The 26,435-nt window shown below is 37.6% G+C and overlaps 1 protein-coding gene and 1 long non-coding RNA gene across 14 annotated transcripts in view; both read left to right on the forward strand.

Annotated features, from left to right (window-relative positions):
• Positions 1-26,435, forward strand: part of ADK (adenosine kinase) — a 558,070-nt gene that overhangs the window by 78,076 nt on the left and 453,559 nt on the right. The window lies entirely within an intron of this gene.
• LOC124902456 (uncharacterized) lies at positions 770-25,581 on the forward strand. The gene is made up of 2 exons (XR_007062198.1): positions 770-11,668; positions 13,442-25,581. It is a non-coding gene; the product is annotated as an uncharacterized LOC124902456 (long non-coding RNA).

Raw genomic sequence — 26,435 nt, forward strand, 5'->3', positions numbered from 1 at the left:
AGGTCAATTTCCAAACCAGCAGGAAAGTTATAAGTATTTAAATGGAATGTGTAGGGATATGTCAGGGAAGTTAGAGACAATAACATCTGGTATGCTTTTTTTTTTTTTTTTTTTTTGGTGAGATGGAGTCTCGCTCTGTCGCCCAGGCTGGAGTGCAGTGGCGTGATCTCGGCTCACTGCAAGCTCCGCCTCCTGGGTTCACGCCATTCTCCTGCCTCAGCCTCCAGAGTAGCTGGGACTACAGGCGCCCACCACCACGCCCGGCTAATTTTTTGTATTCCTAGTAGAGAAAGGGTTTTGCCGTGTTAGCCAGGATGGTCTTGATCTCCTGACCTCGTGATCTGCCCGTCTTGGCCTCCCAAAGTGCTGGGATTACGGGCGTGAGCCACCGCGCCCGGTCTGGTATGCTCTTAAATTAATTGTTAATGCTGTGACTTAGCAGTTCTTTGAAATCATCAAGATCATAGACTGGGCTTGTGCCTATAATCCCAGCACTTTGGGAGGCTGAGGCAGGAGGATTGCTTGAGTCTACGAGTTGGAGACCAGCCTGGACAATATAGTGAGACTCTTGTCTCTACAAAAAGTTAACAAAAGTAGCCGGATGTGGTGGTGCCTGCCTGTAGTCCCAGCTACTTGGGAGACTGAGGTGGGAGGATTGCTTGAGACCAGGAGGTCCAGGCTGCAGTGAGCTATGATCCGTGCCACTGTGCTCCAGCCTGGGTGACAGAATGAGACCCTGTTAAAAGAATCTTTTTTTTTTTTTTTTTTGGTAAGAATGAGCTAAGAACTGGATATCTGTAAAGCTAATAGAAAAAAATCCTGTGAAGCAAAAAGTCAAAATTGAAATAAGCTAGGACCGACAGCAAGGTTAAATGCTTATTTTTTTTTAGTGTTCATAAATAAGGTACAGTTTTAAAAATATCATAAACATTTTTATGATCCTATTCTCAGGGCCCGGTTTTTTTTGTATCTTTAAAATTATAGTATTTTGATTCTAGAAATGAACCCTTGAACCAATATCCGTATTTTATCATGAATAAGGTGAGAGTAACATTGATAAAATGACTTGCTATAGTTTACATTGCTACTTAAGGACAGTACTAGACCAGAAACCAAGTCTCCTGAGTCCCATTTAAGTGCTGTTTTTGTCACACCAAGCAGTTCTCTAAGTATATAGTCTTTTTTTTTTTTTTGAAACAGGGTCTCGCTTTGTCACCCAGGCTAGAAAACAGTTGCATGATCATGGCTCACTACAGTCTTGTTTTTAGAGATGAGGTCTCCTTATGTTGCTCAGGTTGGTCTCAAACTCCTGACCTCAAGCAGTCCTCCTGCCTCTGCTCCCAAAGTGTTATGATTACAGGCATGATCTACTGCACCCAGCCAGTAACTTTTTTTTTTTTTTTTGAGACGGAGTCTCACTCTGTTGCCAGGCTGGAGTACAGTGGCGCGATCTTGGCTCACTGCAATCTCCGCCTCCCAGGTTCAAGTGATTCCCCTGCCTCAGCCTCCTGAGTAGCTGGGACTACAGGTGCCTGCCACCACGTCTGGCTAATTTTTATATTTTTAGTAGAGACAGGGTTTCACCATATTGGTCAGGCTGGTCTCAAACTCCTGACCTCAGGTGATCCGCCTGCCTCAGCCTCCCAAAGTGCTGGGATTATAGGCGTGAGCCACCGCGCCTGGCCGCCAGTAATTTTTTTTTTTAAAGGGATTAATATCCATTGCAAGACTTGGTAACGGATCACAGAGAACTCATTAGTTAATTAAATCAGTTTCACAGTATTGTGTTTTGGTTTTGGAAATCACTTCAGACCTATAACCAATATTGAGTGAGTTGAAAAGAATTAATTACTTCCAAATACAAGGCACTTTACATTCTTCTAAGGAGAGGATGCAACACAAAGCTATTTGGTCAGCTTGATACAAAAGCTCTTAGGTGTGCTCATGAAGTAAGTCAAATGTATACATTTTACAACCACATATTAAATAGAATTAGTTTTTTCTTTTTCCTTCCCATTTCTTTGAACAGTCTTATTCAGAATCTTCATCATTAGCAACTTTGTCATCATTGGAGCCCTTTTCTCTAGAACACATCAGCCTCTTTCTATGTATGATATTTTCGCTGGAAATTTTATCCTGAGCTATAAATGCCTCTCATGTAAGAAAAGTTTTTTTTTTGTTTTTTTTTTGAGACAAGATCTAACTCTGTTGCCCAGGTTGGAGTGCAGTGGCGTGATCATGACTCACTGCAGCCTTGACCTTGTGGGCTTAAGCAATCCTCCCATCAGCCTCCTGAGTATCTGGGACTACCACTGTGCACCACCACACCTGGCTAATTTTTGTATTTTTTGTTGAGATGGGGTCTTGCCATGTTGTCCAGGCTGGTCTTGAGCTCCTGGGCTCAAGTGATATGTCTGCCTTGGCCTCCCAAAGGGCTGGGATTACAGGTGTGAGCCACCATGCCTGGCCAAGAAAAGTTTTTTTTAAAGTTTATTTTTGTATGTAGTCATAATACTTGTAAGGTAACCTTTTCACTGTATTGCTTTTTAAACTAAGGTTTAAATAGTTCATTGTAATAAGAGTTACCGTTTGTGCTTATAAGGCTGCATCTCCAGGAGTAAGTACTAAATCTGTGTTAGATTTCTTTGCTGCTTTTTTTTGTTTGTCTTTTTTTTTTTCTTTTACTGATATGGTCAGGTGGTCAGGTTACTTCCGTAAGGATCCAAAACTAGAGTTGATTGAGATCATTTCAGGCTTATACATAATCTACAAATGATTCTCAACCAATTGAGATCTGAGTTCACCTCTTTTGCTGAACTTTTAATTGTGATCTTACTGTAAAATTCTAGGATCTCATAACTTCTATGAAATTTTTATACCTGGATTATAAAACTTCGGAAAGATTTGCTTAAATATTTTGTTGCTTAAAAGAAAATAATTGGCCGAGTGTGGTAGCTCACGCCTGTAGTCCCAGCATTTTGGGAGGCTGAGGCAGGTAGATCAGTTGAGCTCAGGAGTTTGAAACCAGCCTTGGCAACGTGGCGAAACCCTGTCTCTACTAAAAGTATAAAAAAAATTAGCTGGGCATGGTGGCACTCACCTGCAGTCCCAGCTACTCAGGAGGCTGAGGTGAGAGGATTGCTTGAGCCCAGGAAGTTGAGGCTGCAGTGAGCAAAGATTGCACAACTGCACTCCAGCCTGGGCAATAGAGTGAGAACCCGTCTCAAAAAACAAACAAACAACCCCCCCGCACCCCCCCCCCCCAAAAAAAAACAAACAGAAAATAATTAACACTGTCATCAAGGAAGGTAACTCATTATAAGGATTTAAAAAAAAAATTTTTTTTTGAGACGGAGTCTTGCTCTGTCACCCAGGCTGAAGTGCAGTGGCACAATCTTAGCTCACTGCAAGCTCCACCTCCCGGGTTCACGCCATTCTCCTGCCTCAGCTTCCCAAGTAGCTGGGACTATAGGCGCACGCCGCCACACCCGGCTGATTTTTCTATTTTTAGTAGAGGCAGGGTTTCACTGTGTTGGTGAGGCTAGTCTCGAACTCCTGACCTCGTGATCCACCCGCCTTGCCCTCCCAAAGTGCTGAGATTACAGGCGTAAGCCACCGCGTCTGGCCTATAAGGAATAATTTTGTGATTAAACATGGTCTTATATTCATGAACGATAGGTGAATGAAAAATGTGTGTTATTGGTGGTAAAATCTTAAAATCCTTAAAGAATTAATTTAAATTGCTACCTTCTACTTATGAAGCACTATATGGTGCCCTGGACTTAGCATTAGAAGAAACTTAGTTTATGTATGAGTTTTGCCATAGGCTGTAGTCTTGGGGTATTAGTTAGAATTCAATGCCACTATGATATTAAGAAATTTATTACAGGAATTAAATCTTATTCAATCATGAGAAAAACTGGGGATATTAAGGTCCCTAAAATGTGAGAGAAAAATCGCTAAACTGCCTTTTGATGTAGGTTAATGAATTGCGTGTTCTGTTAATAGGGAAACTGTGAAGGAGGTTCGTGTGTTGTGGGCTCTTTGCAACTACCACCTTTATGGGCCTTTAGTGAAAAATCTGGTGATAGGCTTGGTCCTGGTAGTTGTGGACGTAAGGTAGAGTGGGGATGAGTAAGGACAGATTACAGTTCTGCCCATACCTTTGTGTCTGTCCTTCCTGCCTCTAACCAATGACTGCCTTTGGAATGTAATGGCTACTGCTTCAATTGCATCCCCTAAATTTTTTGCAAATTTCTCTTGTGACATATCTTAAGCTGAAACCATATAGGAGAGGAAATTAGGGGAAGTGTACTCCTTCTTGACATAGTTTAATACCTTAACTTTGTTTAATCACTTAGTCTTCCAAACTTAAGTTCCTCCGATATCATTTTGGGTTTAGATTAGTGCTTTTCTGTCATTGTCCATTAAACAAATGATTTCTTTCATTACCTACTTCTCTTTTAGTCTGTTCAGTGATCCCTCTGGGTATAGCTTCTGAATTTCTAGCATAAAACTCTTCAACAATAACAAAAAAGGATAATGATCTTTCCTGTCAATTTTTAGGGGGAAGGATAAGGTGTTTCCTAGAAACTTTATTCAGAGCACTTTAGTCAAAGTGTAGTTCATTGATCCTTAACTGCAATTTACTTGACAAGATATATTTATGGGATGAAATTTATTGAGGGTAACAGAATGGAGAGAGAAACTGCTGGTGTGATGAATTCTCTTTCTTCTTGGTCTACAACAAACAGAAATATTTTGAGAATGTAGCTATGGCAGATTTTAATGTAAGAGTTATGCCAACACTATTTCCCCTTAAGGGTTGAGTCAGACCTTTTGGGAATGATATAGACTTGGGGGTCTTGAGTGAACTTTTAGTATTTATTAGCAGCCAATCTAACCTTGAAAACTCTATGTTGATTTCTTTTTGGAAAGTGTTGAACAATTAAATAATACATGTTAAAGAACAAGGAAGAAGGGCATTGTTTTAATTATTTTGTGATCTAATTTAATCCCCACAGCAACTCTGTGAAGCAGATATTGTAATCATTCCCATTTTACAGATGAGGAAGAGACTTCGTAACTTGGTTTATATAAGAAAAGGATAGAACTGTTTAGATCTTTTTGATTGCTTTCCATTTTGTATAAGTTCAGTGACTTAGGAACCTTTTTTAAAAAACTTCTTTGGAGGAGTGATATTGTTCATTATGAACATACCTACTTGAAAAGTATTTAAAGGTATTTTTCATGGAAATTATATTTTATAAGTTTTAGTATGGTTCACTAGAAATACGTCACAATTTGTAGGTAATACTGTGTTTTATTTTGAGTTGGCTAATTGTTAAGGTAAAACTTTAGAGGATAAAGTGAGCTCATATTGATGAATGGTAATCTGATATTTCCAACAGACTAGGTCTTTTTTTGAAGTTCATGTATTATAACTTTATTCTTTGTGATACTAGCTCCCTCTGTAGAACTTCAATAAGATTGCAACTGGACTTTTTCAATAATTTAGAAAAGTGATCTAAACATTATCTATAACATTTCCCTGTAAAATTTTACTTTGTATTCTAATCAGTTGCAAGTGGGTTTTTAAAAGTATAAATGTAACATTTATAAAAATGTTTCACTTTGTACACACAAAGTTTTAATAACATATACAAAATAAAACTTTCTTCAAACATTCCTATAACTTTAATGCTTTTTTATTTAGGAAGGCTAGAGAGAGGTGTGATTTCTAGGTCTGTAGGTCTGTGTTGAGTAAAGCCTGATGGAAGCCCTAGGGGAAAAATAAATTTTGACGTTTAGCTGGATACTTGAAATTATCCCTTTTTTTTTTTTTTTTCTGAAACTTTCCGGTTTGACTTGGGTGGGAAAATGTTCATAAGGGATTTTTTTTTTTTATCTTGTAGAGAAGGGGAAAGCAAACTTCTACAACAGGTAGAAAGAGCAAAGAGAAAATCTTAGCAAGATCCAGAAATTTAGTGGAGAATTGCAGGAAAACATTCTTGACATTTACGGTTTAAAAAAATTTTCCTTTTTCTTTTTTTCTTAAGAGGTGGTCTCACTCTGTCGCCTAGACTGGAGTTGAGTGGCATGATCATAGTGATCGTTCCACCTCAGCCTCCTAAGTAGCTGGGACTACAGGTATGTGCCACCACGCCTGGCTCCTTTTTGTATTTTTAGTAGAGATGGGGTTTTGCCATGTTGCCCAGGCTGGTCTTGAGCTCCTGGACTCAAGTGGTCTGCCTACCTCAGCCTCCCAAAGTGTTAGGATTACGGGCGTGAGCCACTGCACCCTGCTCACATATATGAGTTCTATGAGTTTATGCTGTTGTTGGAAAATCCTTTGTTATCAAAGTCTACCAATTTTCCTGTGTGGGAGTGAGCTTACTTATTTTACCACCACTTTTTCTCCTTTCTTTCTGCTATGGTTTGAATGTTTGTCCCCTCCAAAACTAATGTTGAAATTTAATTGCCATTGTAACAGTAATAAGAGGTGGAGGCCTTTAAGAGGTGATTAGATCATGGGGCTCTACCTTCATGAGTGCATTAATGCAGGAGTGGGTTAGTTATCTCTTAGAGGGTTGTTATAAAGTGAGTCTGGCCCCTCAAGCACTTGCTTGCTGTTTGCCTTCTGCCATGGGATAATGCAGCAAGAAGTTGCTGAGCAGAAGCTGGCACCATACTCTAGGACTTCCCAGCCTTCAGAACTGAGAAACATATTAATGTTTCTTTCCTTTATAAATTACCCAATCTCAGGTTTCTGTTAAAAGCCGTAGCAATCAAACTAAGACACTCCCCTAAACCATTTTATATTAAATTGTAAGTTGTATAATTAGCTCTTCAAAGATGTTTTCTCAGACATAATGTAAGCTCAATGAAGGCAGAGGAAATATGATTGACTTGCAACATGGAATTTAGAAAAATGAGCGAACTGATTTCAACCATAAAGCTAGGGACTAAAACATACAAATGAGGATAAGAAAGAACTGAAGTACATATGCTCTTTCAGTTTCTAAAAATTTAACTGTATTTTCTTCTAAGTAGATTGAAGGATGTTCTTAGGATTATGCTTGAGTAGGCTTTTAAACAATTTTGTGTGGATAATTATCTTTGAAGCCTTTGTTAGTACTAAACATCTTTATTCTGTTATAATACAGTTTATTCAAACAGACGTACAGTGTGTATTGTGGCACAAAGAAATTCAAGAATGATTCTTATTCTTTTTGTTTGTTGGCCTTGACTAAATTTGATACCAGATAATTGCTTTAAAGGATAGGCCAATTTTATTGGTATAACAAATCTACCCTTCATTATCCATAAACCACTTATATAGTAATCTGGTTTTCCTATACAGGCACACCTTGGAGATATTGGGGGTTTGGTTCTAGACTATCACAATAAAGTGAATATCACAATAAAGAGAAATACATGAAGATTATATTCCCCAGTGCATATAAAAGTTGTGGTGATATCACACTGTAATCTATTGTATACAATAACATTGTGTATAAAAAATGTATATGCCTTAATTTAATGTAATCTATTGTATACAATAACATTGTATATAAAAATGTATATTCCTTAATCCATAAAAATACTTTATGGATGAAAATGCTAACAATCATCTGAGCCTTTAGCAAGTTACAATCATTTTGCTGGTGGAGGGTCTTGCCTCAGTGTTGATGGCTACTGACTGATCAGGATGTTGGTTGCTGAAGGTTGGAGTGTCTGTGGCAATTTCTTAAAATAAGACAATAATGAAGTTTGCTGTGTCAGAGCCTTCCTTTCATGAAAAATTTCTCTGTAATATGCAATGCTGTCTGATAGCATGTTACCCACAGTAGAATTTGGAAAATTGGAGTCAGTCCTCTCAAACCATGCTGTTACTTTATCAACTTAAGTTTATGGAATATTCAAAATTCTTTGTTGTCATTTCAGCAGTGTTCACAGCATCTTCACCAGGAGTACATTCCATCTTAGGAAACCACTTTTTTTGCTCATCTATAAGAAGCAACTCCCTGTCCATTCAAGTTTTATCATGAGATTGCAACATTTCAGTATCCATCTTCAGGCTCCACTTCCAATTCTAGTTCTCTTGCTATTTCTACCACATCTGCAGTGACTTCTTCCCTGAAGTCTTGAAGCGCTCAAAGTCATCCACAAGGGCTGGAATTCACTTCTTCCAAACTCCTGTTAATGTTGATGTTTTGACCTCCTCCCATGAATCACGAATGTTCTTAATGGCATCTAGAATGATGAATACGTTGCAGGAGGTTTTCATTTTAGTTTGTCTGATCCATCAGAGGAATCACGGTCTATGGCAGCTATAGTCTTGCAAAATATATTTCTTAAATAATAAGACTTGAAAGTCAAAATTACTTCTTGATTTGGGGGTTGCAGAATGAATGTTGTATTAGCAGCCATGAAAACAGCATTCATCTCCTTATACATCTCCATCAGAGCACTTGGGTGACTGGGTGCATCATCAATGAGCAGAAATATTTTAAAAGGGGCCAGGCATGGTGGCTCATGTCTGTAATTCCAGGACTTTGGGAGACTGAGGCAGGCAGATCACCTGAGGTCGGGAGTTCGAGACCAGCCTGACCAACAGGGAGAAACCCCGTCTCTACTAAGAATAGAAAATTAGGTGTGGCAGTGCATGCCTGTAATCCCAGCTACTCGGGAGGCTGAGGTAGGAGAATCGCTTGAACCCAGGAGGCGGAGGTCATGGTGAGCCAAGATTGCACCATTGCACTCCAGCCTGGGCAACAAGAGTGAAACTCCATCTCAAAAAAATAAAAGCCTAGCCTCCCAAAGTGCCAGGATTACAGGCATGAGCCACCGCGCCTGTCTGTCCGCCCGTCTTCTTTTTTAAGAGCAAGAAAAGGTTTCCCAGAAGTACTCTGGTAGATTCTTATCACACACACATTCCTAAACCAGTTACTGGCAAAGAAAATAGAATTATCATGATTAATTAGCATATTCTGAAGTACATGCTTCCTTATAACTGAACAAAAATTAGAGCTCCACTGGCAACGCGGAAATGGCTGTTGACTTGGCAACTAATAGTGAATTGCTCACAATGTTTAAGTGAAATGGCCTGTCAGATTTCCTGGGAACACAGGAACCAGGGCCAGACTTAGAAACGGCCTCAGTAAGAGGTTTTCTAAAACTATTTTCTGGTATCGTAATTATTCCTAATTACCTTGTGCACTAAAAAAATTTAAAAATTTTAAATTTAGAATTTTAAACACATTTCCTGACAGTAACCAAGATATAAAAATGTGTAAAATTGAGTGAATATATTTTAAAGCATGGAAGATTTGTGTTACCCTCAGACTTGAAAGGGAACCTGCAAAGTTATGGTCTCATGGGAAATATTGTTTCTTTTTGCCTTGACATAATTTTCAGGCTCTTTGGTTTTATTCTAAGCAACCCAGCAGGGCACCTTTAAAAAGAAACAAACAAAATTACTGTCTCTAAACCAAAGAAGATAGAAAAATACATTCAGGAGAATAGTATACATTGAAAACTGCCACTTTAGCTAGTGCTTTTTTTTTTTTTTTTTTTTTTTTAAGACGGAGTCTCGCTCTGTTCCAGGCTGGAGTGTAGTGGTGCGATCTCAGCTCACTGCAACCTCCACCTTCCAGTTTCAAATGATACTTATGCCTCAGCCTCCTGAGTAGCTGGGATTACAGGGGCCAGCCACCATGCCCAGCTAATTTTTTCATATTTTTAGTAGAGAGTACTTTTTAACTGAGAAGAGATGCTGTAAAGTTTTAGGAAATCACAGTGGGGACAGTAGTCATACTTCTACTTTCTTCTGAATATAATATTGTTTCTTTTTTCTCCTGCAGTTACTTATTTTTTTTTTCTTTTTGCTTTAAGGCTTGGTAGTTCTGAGAATTTTAGATTCAGTTATAATCGAATGTAACTATCAACACATGTTATGGAGTAGTATAAATTGTTACTTGATGTTTGGAGTTGTTTTACTCAGTCACTCAGCAAAGGTAAGATTAGATCTCCGTTAGATGAAAAGTATTATCTCTTATGCAAAGAGACATTGGTTAGCTCTGGATGAAGACAATGGCTATGGGGTCAGTCAACCTTGTAGAAAGAATAGGCTAGGCACAGTGGCTCATGCCTGTAATCCCACCACTTTGGGGTGGTCGAAGCCAGTGGATCACTTGAGCCCAGCAGTTCGAGACCAAACTCGGCAACATAGTGAGAGCCCCCTCTCTACAAAAAATTTGAAAATTAGCCAGGGCATGGTGGTGTGTACCTCTGGTACTAGCTATCAGGAGGCTGAGGTGGGAGGATCTCTTGACCTGGGGAGGTTGAGTCTGCATGCAGTGAGCCATGATTGCGCCACTGGACTCCAGCCTGGGTGAGAAAGTGAGACCTTGTCTCAAAAAAAAAAAAAAAAAAAAAAAAAAGACACAATAAAAGTAAAATTGTATAATCTCTGGAAAAAACAAAATAGGCTGTCATGTTCTAATACTCAATATGTAAGGATGTTTAGTATATTAGTGGGTATAATTATTAATAAAATATTCTATTTAGTTATCTTTGAACCAGTTTGTAATAACCAAACCACAAAAATTCAATTTGCTTTGTATGTAAAAATCTTTTAAAATAGAAAGTCCTGCCTTAACTTTCATAAATCTGAATGTGAGCATATATTTATGCTTTTCATTTCTTTGCACAGCTTTTTTTTTTTTTCCTCTAAGACAGAGTCTCACTCTGTCACTCAGGCTGGAGTATAGTGGCACGATCTGAGCTCACTGCAACCTCTACCTCCCAGGTTCAAGTGATTCTTGTCCATCAGCCTCCCAAGTAGCTGGGATTACAGGTGTGCAACACCATACCTGGTTAATTTTTGTATTTTTAGCAGAGACAGGGTTTCGCCATGTTGTCCAGGCTGGTGCACAGCATTTTGTTGTTGATGTGTGAGACTTGTAATATAACAGTAATAATGCTGTCATTTCTTAAAGATGATATATAATCCTATCAAAATATTCCTGGGAAGTAGGTATTTGTCAGCCTGTCAGTGTTTTCCTTTTATTTTGTGTGTGTGTGTGTGTGTGTGTGTGTGTCTGTGTGTGTGTGTGTTTTAGTACATTCTCCCAGATGCTGAAATTTTCCCTTTAAACTGTTACTATGATGTATGTCTTATTTCTTTCTCTTTTTTGGTCCTAATTATGCTCTCAGGAGTTAAGACAGTATAAAATTATGTTTTTTAAAGGAAACTTCATCAAATACTTGGAAATTAGCAAATATTTTTTAGAGGTAGAAACTGTCATTTATATTCCTAAGACTTGTAGGCCATTGTATTTGTTGACTGACTGATTTGACTGAGAACCTAGTGTGTGATAACGTGTCACTGTTTCTGTCAACTTATATAATTGAGGGTCTTTTTAATTGTTCTTACCTTAGACCACTATATACTTGTGGTCTTATAAAGTATATTTGAAAATTATATGCATTTTCATGTTTTGTCTGGGCCTGGGAAAAATATTTATTTTAAAACTGTAACATCTTAACCTTTAAAACCCATTGTCAGTTATTTGGAAAAATTAGTATTATATGATATGAAGCACTTCTTTTTATTGCTGATTTCAGGTTTCACTATCTGGGAAACTCCGGTGTGGAGACATAGGTCTGTTAACTGTCTTCTTTGTTTTATCTGGAATGTTTTATTGATACTATAAAACAAAACTTATCAGTAAGACTGATTTGGAATTCATATTGTTTGACAGCATTATCACTGTCAATAATTATCCATTGTCAGTATTTGTAAAGCAGAATAAAAGAAGCCATTATTTAAGTTTAATTCCTGAGATGATTCAGCATACGGTGTAATATCAATCTGTGGGAATTTTATTTTAAACTTTTTCTTAGTAAAGTTTACTTTTTAGAGCTGTTTTAGGTTCATTCACAGCAAAATTGAGCAAAGATACAGAGATTTCCCATAATCCTCCTGCCCTCACACATGAATAGCCTCCCCCATTTTCAGCATCCCCCACCAGAGTGGTACATTTGATACAATTGATGAACCAATATTGACACATCCAAATAAAACTATTTTTTGGGGAGGGGAGACGGAGTCTCTCTCTGTTGCCCAGGCTGGAGTGCAGTGGCGAGATCTCAGCTCACTGCAACCTCTATCTCCCGGGTTCAAGCAATTCTCTTGTCTCAGCCTCCTGAGTAGCTGGGACTACAGGCACACGCTACCATGACCGGCAAATTTTTGTATTTTTAGTAGAGACGGGGTTTCACCATATTGGTCAGGCTGGTTTCAAACTCCTGACCTCAAGTGATCCACCCGCCTCGGCCTCCCAAAGTGCTGGGATTACAGGCATGAGACACTGCGCCCAGCCGATAAAACTCTTAGAACAAGATTAATTGATTGATTGAGACAAGGCCTTGCTCTGTCTCCCAGGCTGGAGTGCAGTGATGCAATCATAGTTCACAGCAGCCTGCAGCTCCTGGCCTCAAGTGATCCTCCTGCCTGAGCCTCTTGAGTAGTTGGGACTATAGCTTGTGCTACTGCTCCCAGAAGTCTCTTATTTAATCTGTCTCTTCTAAAGTATAGATGTATAGTTCATACCTTTAGAAATTTCTGAGTTTTTATGGTGGTTCTGCAAATAAACCTGTTTGCTTCTTATTTCTGCCTTCCCTTCCTTCTGAGCCTTTGGTTTTTGATTTTCTCTTATATGCTGGTTCAGCTATCCTTGTTTCTGTTGCTTTAAAGCCTTCAACATATTATGAACATTTTCCACCAAACATATTGTTCTTATGAGTACATCGTAATTTTAGGGCAAGAAGCAGAGATGAACTTTGCTTTAACTCTTTTGTGTTGAAGTATGCTAATGGCAAGCATGTTTTTTAAATATAAAAGTTGTACAAGTTGAGATGTTTAATTCCTTTACTTTAAGAAAAAGCATCATAATTAGAAGGGAGAATTGCTGTTATCTGGAAGGTGTTCAGACAGTTTGGGGAGAAAAAAACAACCAAAACAGCTGCAGTGTAATTTCCATAAGGGAATGGGCTTATATCTTTGTTTATTTGTGTTTGTTTTCCATTGTACACTCAGTGCCTAGCACGGGGTAACACAGTATGTGATTAACCAACAGTTATTGGAAAAATATATTTTAGTGTGTTATTTTAGATAATTAAAAGTACATTTAGGAAATATGCAACCTTTTTGTTTGGCTTTATTAATCAGCTTTAAAATGCTGATGATAGAAGCAGGAGGCAGAGAAATTATAGGCAAATAGGGGTGGGTCCCTGGTGAAACCCCACCTCCAAGGTGAAAAGCTTGAAACCAGCAGCCCAAAGTGAGAACTTCTATTCCTGTTTGCCTGCACTGTCCTGATTGGTTCTTTCTGAATAATGTCTTTTTACCAATTGAATGTTGCCTTTTCCAAAGCTACCTATGGCCTGCCCCACCCGCATCCTGTGCCTGTAAAGCCCCGGACTCAGTAGGTAGAGAGGAGAGATTCTGCCAGACTTTCGGGAAAAGAGATGGCTTGACTTCGGGGAAGAGACTACTGCTGTACTTCAGGGAAGACCACCTACTCTTCCCGTCCCCTCTCCAGCTCCCCTCTCCACTGAGAGCCATTTCCACCGCTCAGTAAAATTCTCCACCTTCACCATCCTTCAAGTGTCTGCATCACTTCCTTCTTCTTGGATACTGGACAAGAACTCAGAACCCACGGAGTGCAGGTACCCAAAAAGGCTGTCATACTGGCCCTTTGCCCTCGCTGGCGGAGGGCAGCCACCCCACGCAATGTGGTAAGGGACCAACTGAGCTGTTAACATGCACACAGACAGACGGCAGAGCTAAAAGACCACTGTAACACTTTCTCTGGGGTTTTGGGGTCGTGGGCACCCTCACCTGGGTGCTGCTGTGGGACCTGCATGGAGCTTTCTCTCGCTGGCTCCTGGAGCAGCCGGCCAGGTCCTGCACTCTCTTGCTAACATGCTCCCTCCTGCAGGGGGTTGAGCGCTGTGGCGTGAGTAAACTGTCGCCCTTGTTGCAAGTCCAATGAAGGGACCAAGAAAAATCCTGCATCACTGATATGAAATGTACCAAATTAAGTAACATCATCTTATTTCTTCTGATTTTGTTTTCAGTTTGTTTATATTCCTTTCCATAGGTATTATGTGTCTGTTTTAGTTCATAAAATTGTGGCCTAATTTATATTTTGACCATTATTCAGCACACTGTTAGTACTCAGGACTAATTTCAGTTGCTTATTTAGACACATCGAAATAAATCACATTTTAAGGCTGGGCGCAGTGGCTCCTGCCTGTAATCCCAGCACTTTGGGAGGTTGAGGCCAGGAGTTCGAGACCAGCCTGGGCAATATGGTGAAATCCCGTCTCTACTAACAATACAAAAGTTAGCTGGGCATGGTGGTGCACACTTGTGGTCCCAGCTACTTGGGACTCTGAGGCACGGAAATCGCTTGAACCCAGGAGTCAGAGGTTGCAGTGAGCCATCACGCCACACTGCATTCCAGCCTGAGTGAGATTACGTCTCAAAAAAAATTTTTTTTAAACATAAATAAAGACCACACTATCTTTTTTGAAGATTATGTTCACATTTCATTCTCTCCATTGAACTGTATAGATGTATTACCTGTATATAAAGAATGTAAATTTTTTTGTATTAAAAATCGACACCTTAAAAAAAAACTAATACCACCACAAGGTTAAGCTCTGAGGAGATTTCAGCTTTACAATAATTACATTGTTACAATAATGTTTAACTTCTCAATAATTAAAAACCAAAGCAATGTTGCAACCTTGGTTCAATATTCAAATATATTTTTCTTGGTAACCAAGCTACTTCACTATTTATAGTACTTTATAAATGATTTAGAATTGTTATGCAGTTTTTTCAAAGAAGTATTCATAAGGTAAATTTAGAAAATTATTTTAAAACGAAAGTGATGCCCACCAGATGGTGCTATTTCGCCTGTTTTATCTGCGACAATAAGTAGGAAAAATGAATATAGAACTTCAAAAAAGTGTATGGAAGATCTAGAATATTTGGGCATTGTATTTTGGGTGTAGATGAGCTCAGTGGAAGGAAGCATTCAAATATTCTAAACTTGTGTTTAGTACTGTATGTTTATCTTGATAAAGGTAAAGATGAATTCCCAGAGTTAATATGCCAGATAACCTTTTATTTAGTCTAAATGTTAAGTAGATTTTTTGAAAAGTTGACCTATATGCAAATTTTATTAACTTCATAGCTGTATATGCATGAAAAATGAAATTATTTATTAGATATGTGTTACCAAAATTTGTTTCAAGATTTCTTTATATTGTTAAGTAAACAATATTACTATCTCATTTGAGTTACATTGTGATTTACAAATTAAGGGAAACATTTTGATTTTTTTATGTGTTTGTAATTATTACCCAGAAACTTAGGCTTGAATTCACTATTTTTACAAAGGAAAGAGATGACTCTTCTAAATTAATTTTTGTATTAGGAAGAGGGCAAACTATGTGGTACAGTGTTCACTTAGATGCAGCCATTGAATGACGATCCATTAGAGTCAAAATGGTTAGTTAGCTAATGAAATACACTTTTCAGTAAAGCTGGAAAGATTTAGCCAGCTCTTAAAAGTGTTTCTAGGATTTTAATGTAGTCTTTTTCCCGCTGATTTTATTATCACTCTGTATTCTTCTCTGGTCATGAGATTGAACCATAAAAGTCATGTAGATGCTTGTTATAAGTATTTGCCAAAGTCATCATTGTCAGTGATTTTATTGGCATGTGTGAAATTAGAGATTAAACTTGCTTTTAAATCTTGCATTTGAATTTTTCTTCTGGAAGGGTACATGTATAACTTTCAATTTAATGTTCAATTATTGGTAACAGAATGAAGCATCTCTCTATAGGCCAGTAAATATATATAGTAGATTTTATTGTATTCCTGTACTGTTTTTGAATGAATATTTTACTAATTATATTAACATAATCCTCATACATACCCTTAAGATTAGGACCTACTATAATGCTTTATTTGAACTTGTTTCATAGCATTTGTCTTTTTTAACTTTGGATTATAGTTTTGGAATATAAATCAGATCCCTCCTACAAAAACATAAAGTTCTTCATGCTTTCTCTCATTCCACTTATCACAATACTTTACATGTAGTAGATGACCCTATATATTTTTTATATAAATGAATAGTTTTGTCATGCCAAGTATTGATATTAGTATTAGTGACAACAAGTATTCCTCATTCCATAGTTTTTGTTTTTGTTTTTTTTTTTTTTGAGACAGAGTCTTACTCTGTCACCCAGGGTGGAGTGCAGTGGCAGAATTTCAGCTCACTGCAATGTCTGCCTCCCAGGTTCAAGCAATTCTCCTGTGTCAGCCTTCTTAGTAGCTGGGATTACAGGCATGCACCATCACGCCTGGCTAATTTTTGTAATTTTAGTAGAGATGGGGTTTCACCATATTGGTCAGGCTGGTCTTGAACTCCTGACCTCAGGTGATCCACTCACCTCAGCCTCCCAAAGTGGGATTACAGGCATAAGCTACTGCACCTGGTCTCTGTTCTACAGTTTTTTATCTTATGCTTTTCTGAAATGACTTTTTATAGTTGGGTTTAAAAGGATCATCTCATTGGAATCTCATATCACAGTTATGATGCATTCTGTCATGATGAGGATAAGTGTATATTCAGGTTAAAAAAAATCAAAATATTATTGTCAGCCTGCATCAGTATTAGAGATTGTCTGGTCCAGGAGTTCTCAGATTGTGATTCAAGGGCCTCTTGTGGGAGGGGGGGGTCAGGGGTCCTTAAGACCTTGACAGAAGTTCTGTGAGGGCAGAACTATATTCAAAGTAATACTAAGACTGTGTTTACCCTTTTCATTCTCATTCTCTCATGAGCATAGGTGGAGTTTTCTAGAGGTTGCATACCATGCCATACTGATTGAATGTACAAGTTATATGAAACTCTAGCAGTTCTGTCAAAAGACAAAGTTACAACAAATTTAGTTTAAAGATCTCAGTCAGCTTTATTGTGATTCTAGAATCAGGCAATACTTCATTCCATAAAGTAGAGTGTGTGTTCTAATGAGTTGAGCAGATGGTTGGTTTTATAGACAGAAAGGGCTGAAGAAAGCAGATTGGTCATTTCAAAGTGAATTCTCTTGTAAGGTCTGGATGGGGAGACAGGACAATAGAAAGACTGGTTAATATCAGGTTACTTCAGATTAGGGATTAAAACAGAGGAAACTTCATTATCATGCCCATTGAATACTTCATTATCATGTGCATTGAATATTGAAAATTGTCCTGTTTGGGATATTAGGCTGTTATCTGTCTCTCCTGATTTTTTAGAAAGTCAAGATAACAACTCAGTTTGGGTTTGGTGAGCATGGGTGACTCCATTTTGATTTTTAGTCTGGTCTTCTTTTGGAGCCTAGTGTAGGAGTTTTGTTCAAAACAGTGGCCTATAATTTTGGCTTCATAAGCCAGACATTAAAGAGATTTGCAAAGATTATAAAACAGTGCTTCTCTTGTCACTAAGATGTTTTTTAGTTTGGAAATAGTTATTTTCATAAAATGTTACATTAACATTTAATGAATTTATTCTTAAAATAATAAATATTTAAAAAAGTTATATTTTAACTTCTAATATGATAACTAGGGCTAGATATTAAAGCTCCTTGAATTACTCGATACTCTTTTTAAAGTGTAAAGTGGTCCTGAGATGAAAGTGTCTGAGAACTTATGATCCTAATTCTTTATCCTCATTTCATAGATGAGAATACTATGAGCCCAGAGAGGTTAGTTTAGTTAAGTACACTCATCCAGTTTTTGGCTTAGCTGATTCTTGGATCACTGACATCTGGCTTTTTTTGATTTTTTTTTTTTTAAGTTTTTTTTTTTTTTTTTTTTTTTTGAGACAGAGTCTTGCTGTGTCAGCTAGGCTCGGGGGCTGGAGTGCAGTGGTGCAGTCATGGCTCACTGCAGCCTTCACTGCCTGGGCTCAAGTGATCCTCCCACCTCAGCCTCCTGAGTACCTGGGACTACAGGCACGTGCCACCATGCCTGGCTAATTTTTGTGTTTTTTGTAGAGAAGGGTATTTTTTGTTGCCCAGGCTGGTCTCAAACTCTTGGGCTTAAGTGATCAGCTAGCCTTGACCTCCCAAAATGTTGGGATGAGCCACCTTGCCTGGCCTGATATATTTTATTAGCAGTTTTGCTGTTTAGATATTCTTCAACCTAATACCAACCATCAGCTCCTTTAACAGTTTCTTCATTTGATATTTTAACTAACTTTATTAAGTACATGAGTAAATTAGGAATATTGACCTACTTTTTCAACAACAATAAAATGGTGTTTTTTTAAACTCAAAAAATGTCTAGAAAAAGGGAATTGATATATGAAACAGTGTAACCTTAGCGTCAGAAAGAATAATGTTGAGGGCAAAGAAATAGGTTCTTGTGTTTTAGAGACTCTTTTACTGTCTTTTTTCCTTTTTTTCCCCCCTTCTTCAACAACAAAACATTGGTTACAAGCTTCCCTGGGCATTTATGGCAGCCCACCTACAGAAGAACAAGTGTTCTGTTTTAAAATTTTAAAAATTTTATCAAGAGGATAATAATTACACATATGCTGCTTTTTTGATGGATATGTATTATTTCTCAGGTTGAGCCTCATGGTGGGGGTGGTAGATTCTAACCCCCTCCTTTTAATTGTTGAATGAATTTAAAACTATGTCATAAAGAAACTGCGTAATTTTAATTCAAAGAAAGATAATTAGGATATACATAATATCCCTCTTCCTTTGAGGGGCTTCCTTCGTGTAGAAGACATGGACTGAGTGATTTTTGCTCAATAAAGGAAAACTTTCTAGTAGTAAAGAAATACAAAAATAGAATCAGCTTGTTTGGAAGTAGTGAGTTCCCTTTCTTATGAGGCATTAAAGCATAGACCAGATTATTGACTGTTAGTAGGAGTACTAGCAAATGAATCAGTAGATGGAGGGTTAATTGGGTTACATGACCTTTCAGATTGCTTTTTTTTTTGAGGTGGAGTCTCGCTTGTCACCAGGCTAGAGTGCAGTGGTGCAATCTCAGCTCACTGCCACCTCCGCCTCCTGGGTTCAAGCGATTCTCATGCCTTTGCCTCCCGAGTAGCTGGGATTACAGGCACGTGCCACCACACCTAATTTTTTGTATTTTTAGTAGAGACGGGGTTTCATCATGTTGGCCAGGGTGGTCTTGATCTACTGACCTCATGATTTGCCTGCCTTGGCCTCCCAAAGTGCTGGGACTACAGGCATGATCCACCGTGCCCAGCCTTCAAATTCTTTTATTAAGTGTTTGAGTATACTTGTTCAAAATAACTTTTTAAACAAGTATAAAAAGGCAGTTGGTTTAGCAGATGTATTCTACTTTTATATCAGCTGCTCTGTTAACCTAAAGATTTTATGGATCTGTGGTCTCACCATGATCACTGACATCAATTCTCCTTGAAGGAGGATGAGTTTTGTTTGTTCATTTTATTGCAAACCATTTGAAGAGATGATAGATTGGTAGCAGAAATTTGGCAGAGAAAAGGATGATAAACATTAGAAAGGAGGATAAAGCCCACTGGAAGACATAAATGAATTGATGATATTTTGGTGTATATTTTCTCATTGCTTTATGATTATAAATATTTTCTGCTGCTTTTTGCCACTATCTATTTTTCATGTCTTCCAATAAAGTATTCCATGGCCAAAATTTGTGTGAAATTCTCTTCGGTTGTTGCTGGTTTTACAAGTTATAGGGTTCTTTGGAATATAATTACTGAAATGATGACTACACTAAAACATATTTCTTCTTAATTTAACAAAGTATTTAGTGGGAGGAAGGCTCTAGCTTTTCTTATTTTCTTTAATGTTTTTTAGGCATGCTAGAGGAAAATAGTGTTCTTACTATTAGTTTTGAACATTTTTTATGACTATAGAGTTGAAAGCCCAAAACACTAGAAGTAAATGGATCATTGCAAAATATTTGTTTTGTTTTCATTTGTGAGTGGGGCATTCGTGTGTCACTGTGTCTATGCTTCTATTTTTCTCTGTATATAGTTTATATCCTTAAGACTTTCAGAAAGAAATTGAGATGTTATGTTGTTTTATTGTATATGCATGTACATGCATACACACACACACACACACACACACACACACAGTTTTATTTGTTCATCATATATTTAAGGCCTGACATAGGTCTTACAAAGTTCAATTACTATAGGGCTTAAGTAGGAAATGAATGGTAAAATGAGCCAATTTGAAGCAATAAATACTGATTGATAGATTATCACCTTCTTCCAAATAAGATATGTGGCATCGTAGAATCTTGCTCTTAGATACACAGATATGTGTGATGTTTAAATAGTTGAGAAATTCAACCAGAAATGAATGAAAGGGTTTTCCCGTTATCCTGTCATACGCAAATTACCAGATCATTCAGTTCTTCAATTTATCAATTCATGTATTTATTCATTTAACTAATATTTGTTAGTTTTATACTATGTGTAAAGCCCTATTTTAGACACTGAATACAGTGCCAGACAGTAATTTTCCTGCACTCATAGTTTATACTCTAATAGAGAATGTAGAATTGAGCTTTAAATTTCCTATTCAATAAGTATTTTTAGTAATATGTGAAGTACAAGAGCTTCTGAAGACTTATTGCGCCACTCTCTCCCTATTCATCCATTTACCAGTTGTTACTGAATGCTTACTCTATGTACTAGAAATGCAGAGATGAGTAAGATACAACCTGGCCCTGAAAAAAATTCAGTCTATTTGGAGTTATAGACAGGCAGTAACTAGCTATTATATAGTGTGATGATGGCTATGATATAATTACAAATAATATTCTGCAAGAACAGTAATTTTCTCTAGCTGTGAGGTATGCAAGAAGCTATCATAGAGAACTAATATTTGAGGATGAGTAGAAATAGTCGGGTATAGGGAGATCAAAGGAGAAGTTACTCCTATTCCCCAAATAGAGGGTTCTTCATGAACACACAGAAGTAGGCAAGGTCTGTTTGGAGAATGGTGAGATATTGTGTAGTTTGGGTAAAACACTGGGTATGTCATGGAGGGAGAGGTAAAAGAAGAAGCTACAACGTAGGTTCAGGCCGAATTGTGAAAAGTTTTATATACAAGGTTAAAGTTGGCTTTTTATTTTACAGTTAGTTGGGGACCTGTGGAAGATTTTTCAGCAGGCAAACATACTTAGTCTGCAGTTTACAAAGATAGTTGATAGAATACAGGATGAAGTAGTGAGAAGTTGAGGCTATGGAAAGGCAGGTATACCAGTTTGAAAACTTCATAATAGATATGAATGAAATAATGAGGGTCTCTTATAGGGTAGTAGTAGTAGTGACTTTAGAACACAGGGATGGATTAAAAATCAAATTCAGAGGTATTTTTGTTTTGCTTCATTTTTTTGAGACAGGGTCTTGCTCTGTCACCCATGCTGGAGTGCAGTGACATGATCACAGCTCACTGCAGCTAGGGCTACAGATGTGTGCCACCATGGCTGGCCAATTTTTTATTTTTATTTTTATTTTTGGTAGAGACAAGGTCTCATTATGTTGCCCAGGCTGGTCTTAAAATCCTGAGCTCAAGCGATTCTTCCATCTCAGTCTCCCAAATTGCTAGGATTACAAGCATGAGCCACCATGCCTGGTCCAGAGTTAGAACTGACAGGATTTAGTGAGTGATCCATATGGAGAGAGGGCGTTGAAAAAGATTTTGAAGTTTTGTGTTTAGTGTCTGCATAATTAAATGCTGGTACTATTAACTTCAAAAGGAAAAGCAATATGGTTGAGGGAAGCAATGAATTTGGTTTTGTAATATTGAGGGCAGGAGTAAACCTAAGGGAATGTTGGAGGCATTTAAATTCTAAGTGGAGGAGATGCCTATTCAAGAGAAAGGAGGAGGAGTAGGGGGAAGAGATAGCTGTTCAGTGTGTCATTAAACCTCTCAAATCCTCAGTTTGTTATTTATCATATATTGGAGGTAGAATCAATAATTTTTCTGGTTTTGAAATAACCTGTGTTTTAGTTATCACAAATTCTAAATTAGTAGTACAAAAATTATAATAATTATAGTTTATATGTTATAGACTGATGATAATATTTATTGATTACTTCCTGTGAAGTTTAGGTAAAATGCTAAGCATTTTGCATTCATCATCCATTTAATTCTCCTAGCAATATGAGTTAAATATTATTACTATCTGGATTTTCAGAAAAGGGAAGATAACTTGACCAAGATTGTTACAGCAAATAAGTGGTGGATGGGTATTCAAACCCAGGACAATCTGACATTAAAACTCAAGCTTTTAACCACTATATTATTTGCCTGTCTTGTAGAACATAAGAGTTGTAATGAATCTAAAACATCATCTAGCCCTTTCCTGTAATCAGATTTATGTCATAGCTAAGGTCTGTAATTAATGTCAAAATTAGCTATCCAATTTACTTAATAAGAAGCTTACTCCACAGCCATTCATTACTGCTGTTTTCCTTGTGGCAGATACTTTTTTTTTTTTTTTTTTTTTTGTCGACTCACCTCTTTACCGTGTGATGTGAGTAAATTCTGTATAGTCTAGGCCACTCATGATTATCCCATTTTTCTTGCTAGTCATTAATTAAGACCTGAACATAGGACTGATATCTGACCAATAACTCATTTGTGGCCAATGAGACATGAGGGGAGGTTTGGTGGAGGGGCTTCTTGGAAAGGTAACACCTCCTCTCCCCTCATTTTTGGATGTTTCTATCTAGATGGGTTCTTGGAATTGTGAGAGCTATCTTGGAATTATTTGGGGCCTAGGTCAGGATAAAACCAAAACACTGGATGGCACAGTGAAAAGATGGTGAGAACTTGGATCCTTAATGATCTTGTTGAACTTCTAAATTACCCATTCCTAAAGCTATTGTGCCTCAGGACTAGGTCTTACATGAAATTAGAGGGAATTTATTAGGCTGTGTGAAACAAGGACTTTTTAAGGCTACTAACAGTTTTTTTCTTTTAAACGATACTTATCACTGAAAGAAACCTAACTGGGATCTGCAGTGTTTATCTTTGTCTGAAGTAAATAGAAAGGCACTGTAGGGCTTGCATTACTGTTGAGACACAATTAAAACAGGAATAGAAGACAATTTTTGTGTCACTGCACCTAATTTAATTGGTGTAGAAGTTGGAGATGATCATGCTCTAGAAAACAGATCTTATATATGTTAAAGGTAGCAAAGTGTCATTGAGGAAATGAGTCTGATTATTCTGACAGTTTCTGTAGGTAAAAGGAATAGAAAGTAAGTGTTCAGATTAGGTTAGGAAATAGAAATGGATTTAGTTTGTAGACAGTTAACCTACGTTTCAGGGTCCTTCCAAGACTCTGGAAGAATCTCAAGCAATGTGTTAACATAATATTTTGGGTGAGGCGGGGTAAGATTTGCAAAAGTTAGGTATTTAATCCATTAAAACTGCTATTCCTTTTCACTTAGACTTTCCCTGTATCATACCCTCATATTGGGTGGCATTAGAGTGGCCTGAGCTAAGGGAAAATTGAGTAGAGGATACATTTAGAGATAGTATATGGTTAGCAGTTGTTTATGTGTCCAGTTATTTTGTAGGCATTACTTCCAGGAATGTTATTACTGTCCACTGTGTCTACTTCCCTGGCCTTGTGATACATAGATGTAGTTTTGCAGGGCAGGTGAGCCCCAAAGTGGGGCTCAGCCCGTGAGGGTTCTTGGCTTTGCCCAGAAAAGAATTCAAGGGCAAGCCAGAGGTAGAAGAAAATAGATTTATTGAACAGGCAGTGTTACAGCTCTGGTGGTGTTATAGCTCGGTGACTGCTCCTGCAGAGCAGGGCTACCCCGTAGGCAGAGAGTAGCAGTTCAGGGCAGTTATTAATACCCTTTTTTAATAACATGCAGATTAAGGAGTGGTTTATGCAGAAATTTCTAGGGAAGGGATAGTAACTTTTGGGTCATTGGGTCATTGCCATGGAAAGTGGTGGTAACTCCTGGGTGTTCTCATAGCAGTGTTGACATGGCACACTGGTGGGTGTGTCTGATGGAAAGCTTCTTCTGCCTAATCATCTTTCAGCTAGTCCTCAATTTAATTGGGTGTCTGAACCTGTCTCTAGAGTCAAGTCCTGCCTCCTAACTCAGTAGGGGCAAGGGTCTTAGAGCATTATAAATATGTTCTTTGTGGTAGAGGTAGAGGAAGAGAAACATCGTTTAAGTGTTTAGAGTGAGAAACTAGTCTGGAAAATTTTTCTAAATCTTGGAACTTGATTGTGGTTTTCGTAAATTTGATAATATTCCTAAGAATGTATATGACATTATCAGTAATAAGTTATAAAGAAGTTATAAAGCTGATATAAACTCTCTACACTGCCTTTTTTTTTTTTTTTTTTTAAGATGGAGTCTCCTCTGTCACCCAGGCTGGAGTGCAGGGGTGTGATCTCTGCTCACTGCAACCTCTGCCTCCCAGGTTCAGGTGATTCTTTTGCCTCAGCCTCCTGAGCAGCTGAGACTACAGGCACGCACCATCATGCCTAACAAATTTTTGTATTTTTAGTAGAGATGGGGTTTCACCATGTTGGCCGGGCTGGTCACGAACTGCTGACCTCAAGTGATCCGCCCGCCTCAGCCTCCCAAAGTGCTGGGATTACAGGTGTGAGACACCGTGCCTGGCCTACACTGTCAGTACTAAAAATTGATCAAACACAGTAGTAAAAAGATAAAATTATCTTTCTATTCTCTTAATGTTGCAAAATTGTTATATGAAGAGGAAATCAAGAAATGCAGCCAGAAATGTAAGAAAATAAGAGCATTATAGAGATAGATTAGGCAATTAATAAAGATATGCTCTTCTTTTTGAAATTCATGTTTTTGGCATTTGTTAGCCTTTTAAAGTTAGTGTTTAGTTGTAATTTATTTTCTCATTCCAGATATTTACTTCACACCTAATTTTGTATTCCTTTCCTTAAATAGAGTCCCACAAATTGTAAAAAAGGAATTAGCTCACCAAAAACACCAAATGCAGTATTTTTAATATTTACCTTTCAGGTTCGGTTGCTGGATCTAGATATGCCTCTTTTTTTTATTTCCTCATTTTTTCTTCTAAAAAGAAAATTATGTATTTTAATGTCAGATTGCTTTTGATTAAAATGTTTCATATTAAAATTGTATACCTGAAAAATATTATTCAATAACACACTTCAAAAAGTTGACAGTTAAAAAAAAAAGAATAGCCCTTGTTACTTTTCTTATCTAATCACAGAGTTTGTGTAGTGAATGTAAAAAGAAAAAAAAATTGTTACAAGTTTGGAGCAAAGAGCTCTGTGTTTAAAAGGAATCTCCTTCTTTTTTTGTGTGTTTTTCCTTTTGTACCAATGGGGAACCTAAATCTGTTTTAGTTGCACAGACACAATGGACAAATAGTCATTTTGTATTTGCCAAGTGTGATACCTTCCTTTGTTTATTTGCTATTAAACTGTTGAGAGTTTTATGGCTAGTGGATAATCATTGTTCAAACTTTTTAATAACTACAGTGAATTGTGTTAATATAAAATTATGCTGTACAGTATTTTCTTGTTATGTTGATGGTCAAAGTGAACATCAGATATTAAAAATTTAGATGAGTAAAATATTAAACAGCCTATTTTTGTCATGTAACAAAAGACCATGAGATCCATGGAGGAAAAAAGGACAGCTTTATTTTTCTATAGAAAACAATAGTAGGTTGGGGATATGCAGCCTGTGGTGTAAAATGAAAATGAGGTCCTAGTTGGGGGTTGGAGAGTTAGAAATTATAAAGGCAAAAATTGTAGGACAGGGGAGGTGGGGTCAAGGAAGTAAGGAATAAAGTCTTGATTAGATGACCTTTAATCCCCAAATCACCAGTGTGTCTTAGTTGGTTGTTTCCAGGTGGTTGGTCAGTTGGCACCAGGTGGTCTTTTGGTGATCATTTGGGGAATTTCCAAATGATCACCAAAAGGAACTGTTCTTTGACTTGGTGGCAGAAAAACAGGTTTTGCAACACTTTTAAGGACACAGGGTATAATTGCTCCCTTACCCTGTCATTGCCTCTTGGTTCTGCTTTTACCTTTGAGCCACAAGGAGTCTATCTTGTCAATTAACTGGGGGCATAATTTGACAGTCCAATATGTATAATGATGACAACAGCTCCACTAACATGAATGCCATTCTTAGAATTTCTCATAGATCCTGGCATTTGGTACATCTGAGTTGAATAAATAAAAGTCTGGGGAATGAATGAAAGAAAAATTAGTTCAATGTCCTATAACTTTAAGTTAATTTATTAGAATTGCCACCAACAAAATTAGCTCTAGCATTTA

Source organism: Homo sapiens, chromosome 10 (genome assembly GCF_000001405.40).
Source record: "Homo sapiens chromosome 10, GRCh38.p14 Primary Assembly".
Taxonomy (NCBI): domain Eukaryota; kingdom Metazoa; phylum Chordata; class Mammalia; order Primates; family Hominidae; genus Homo; species Homo sapiens.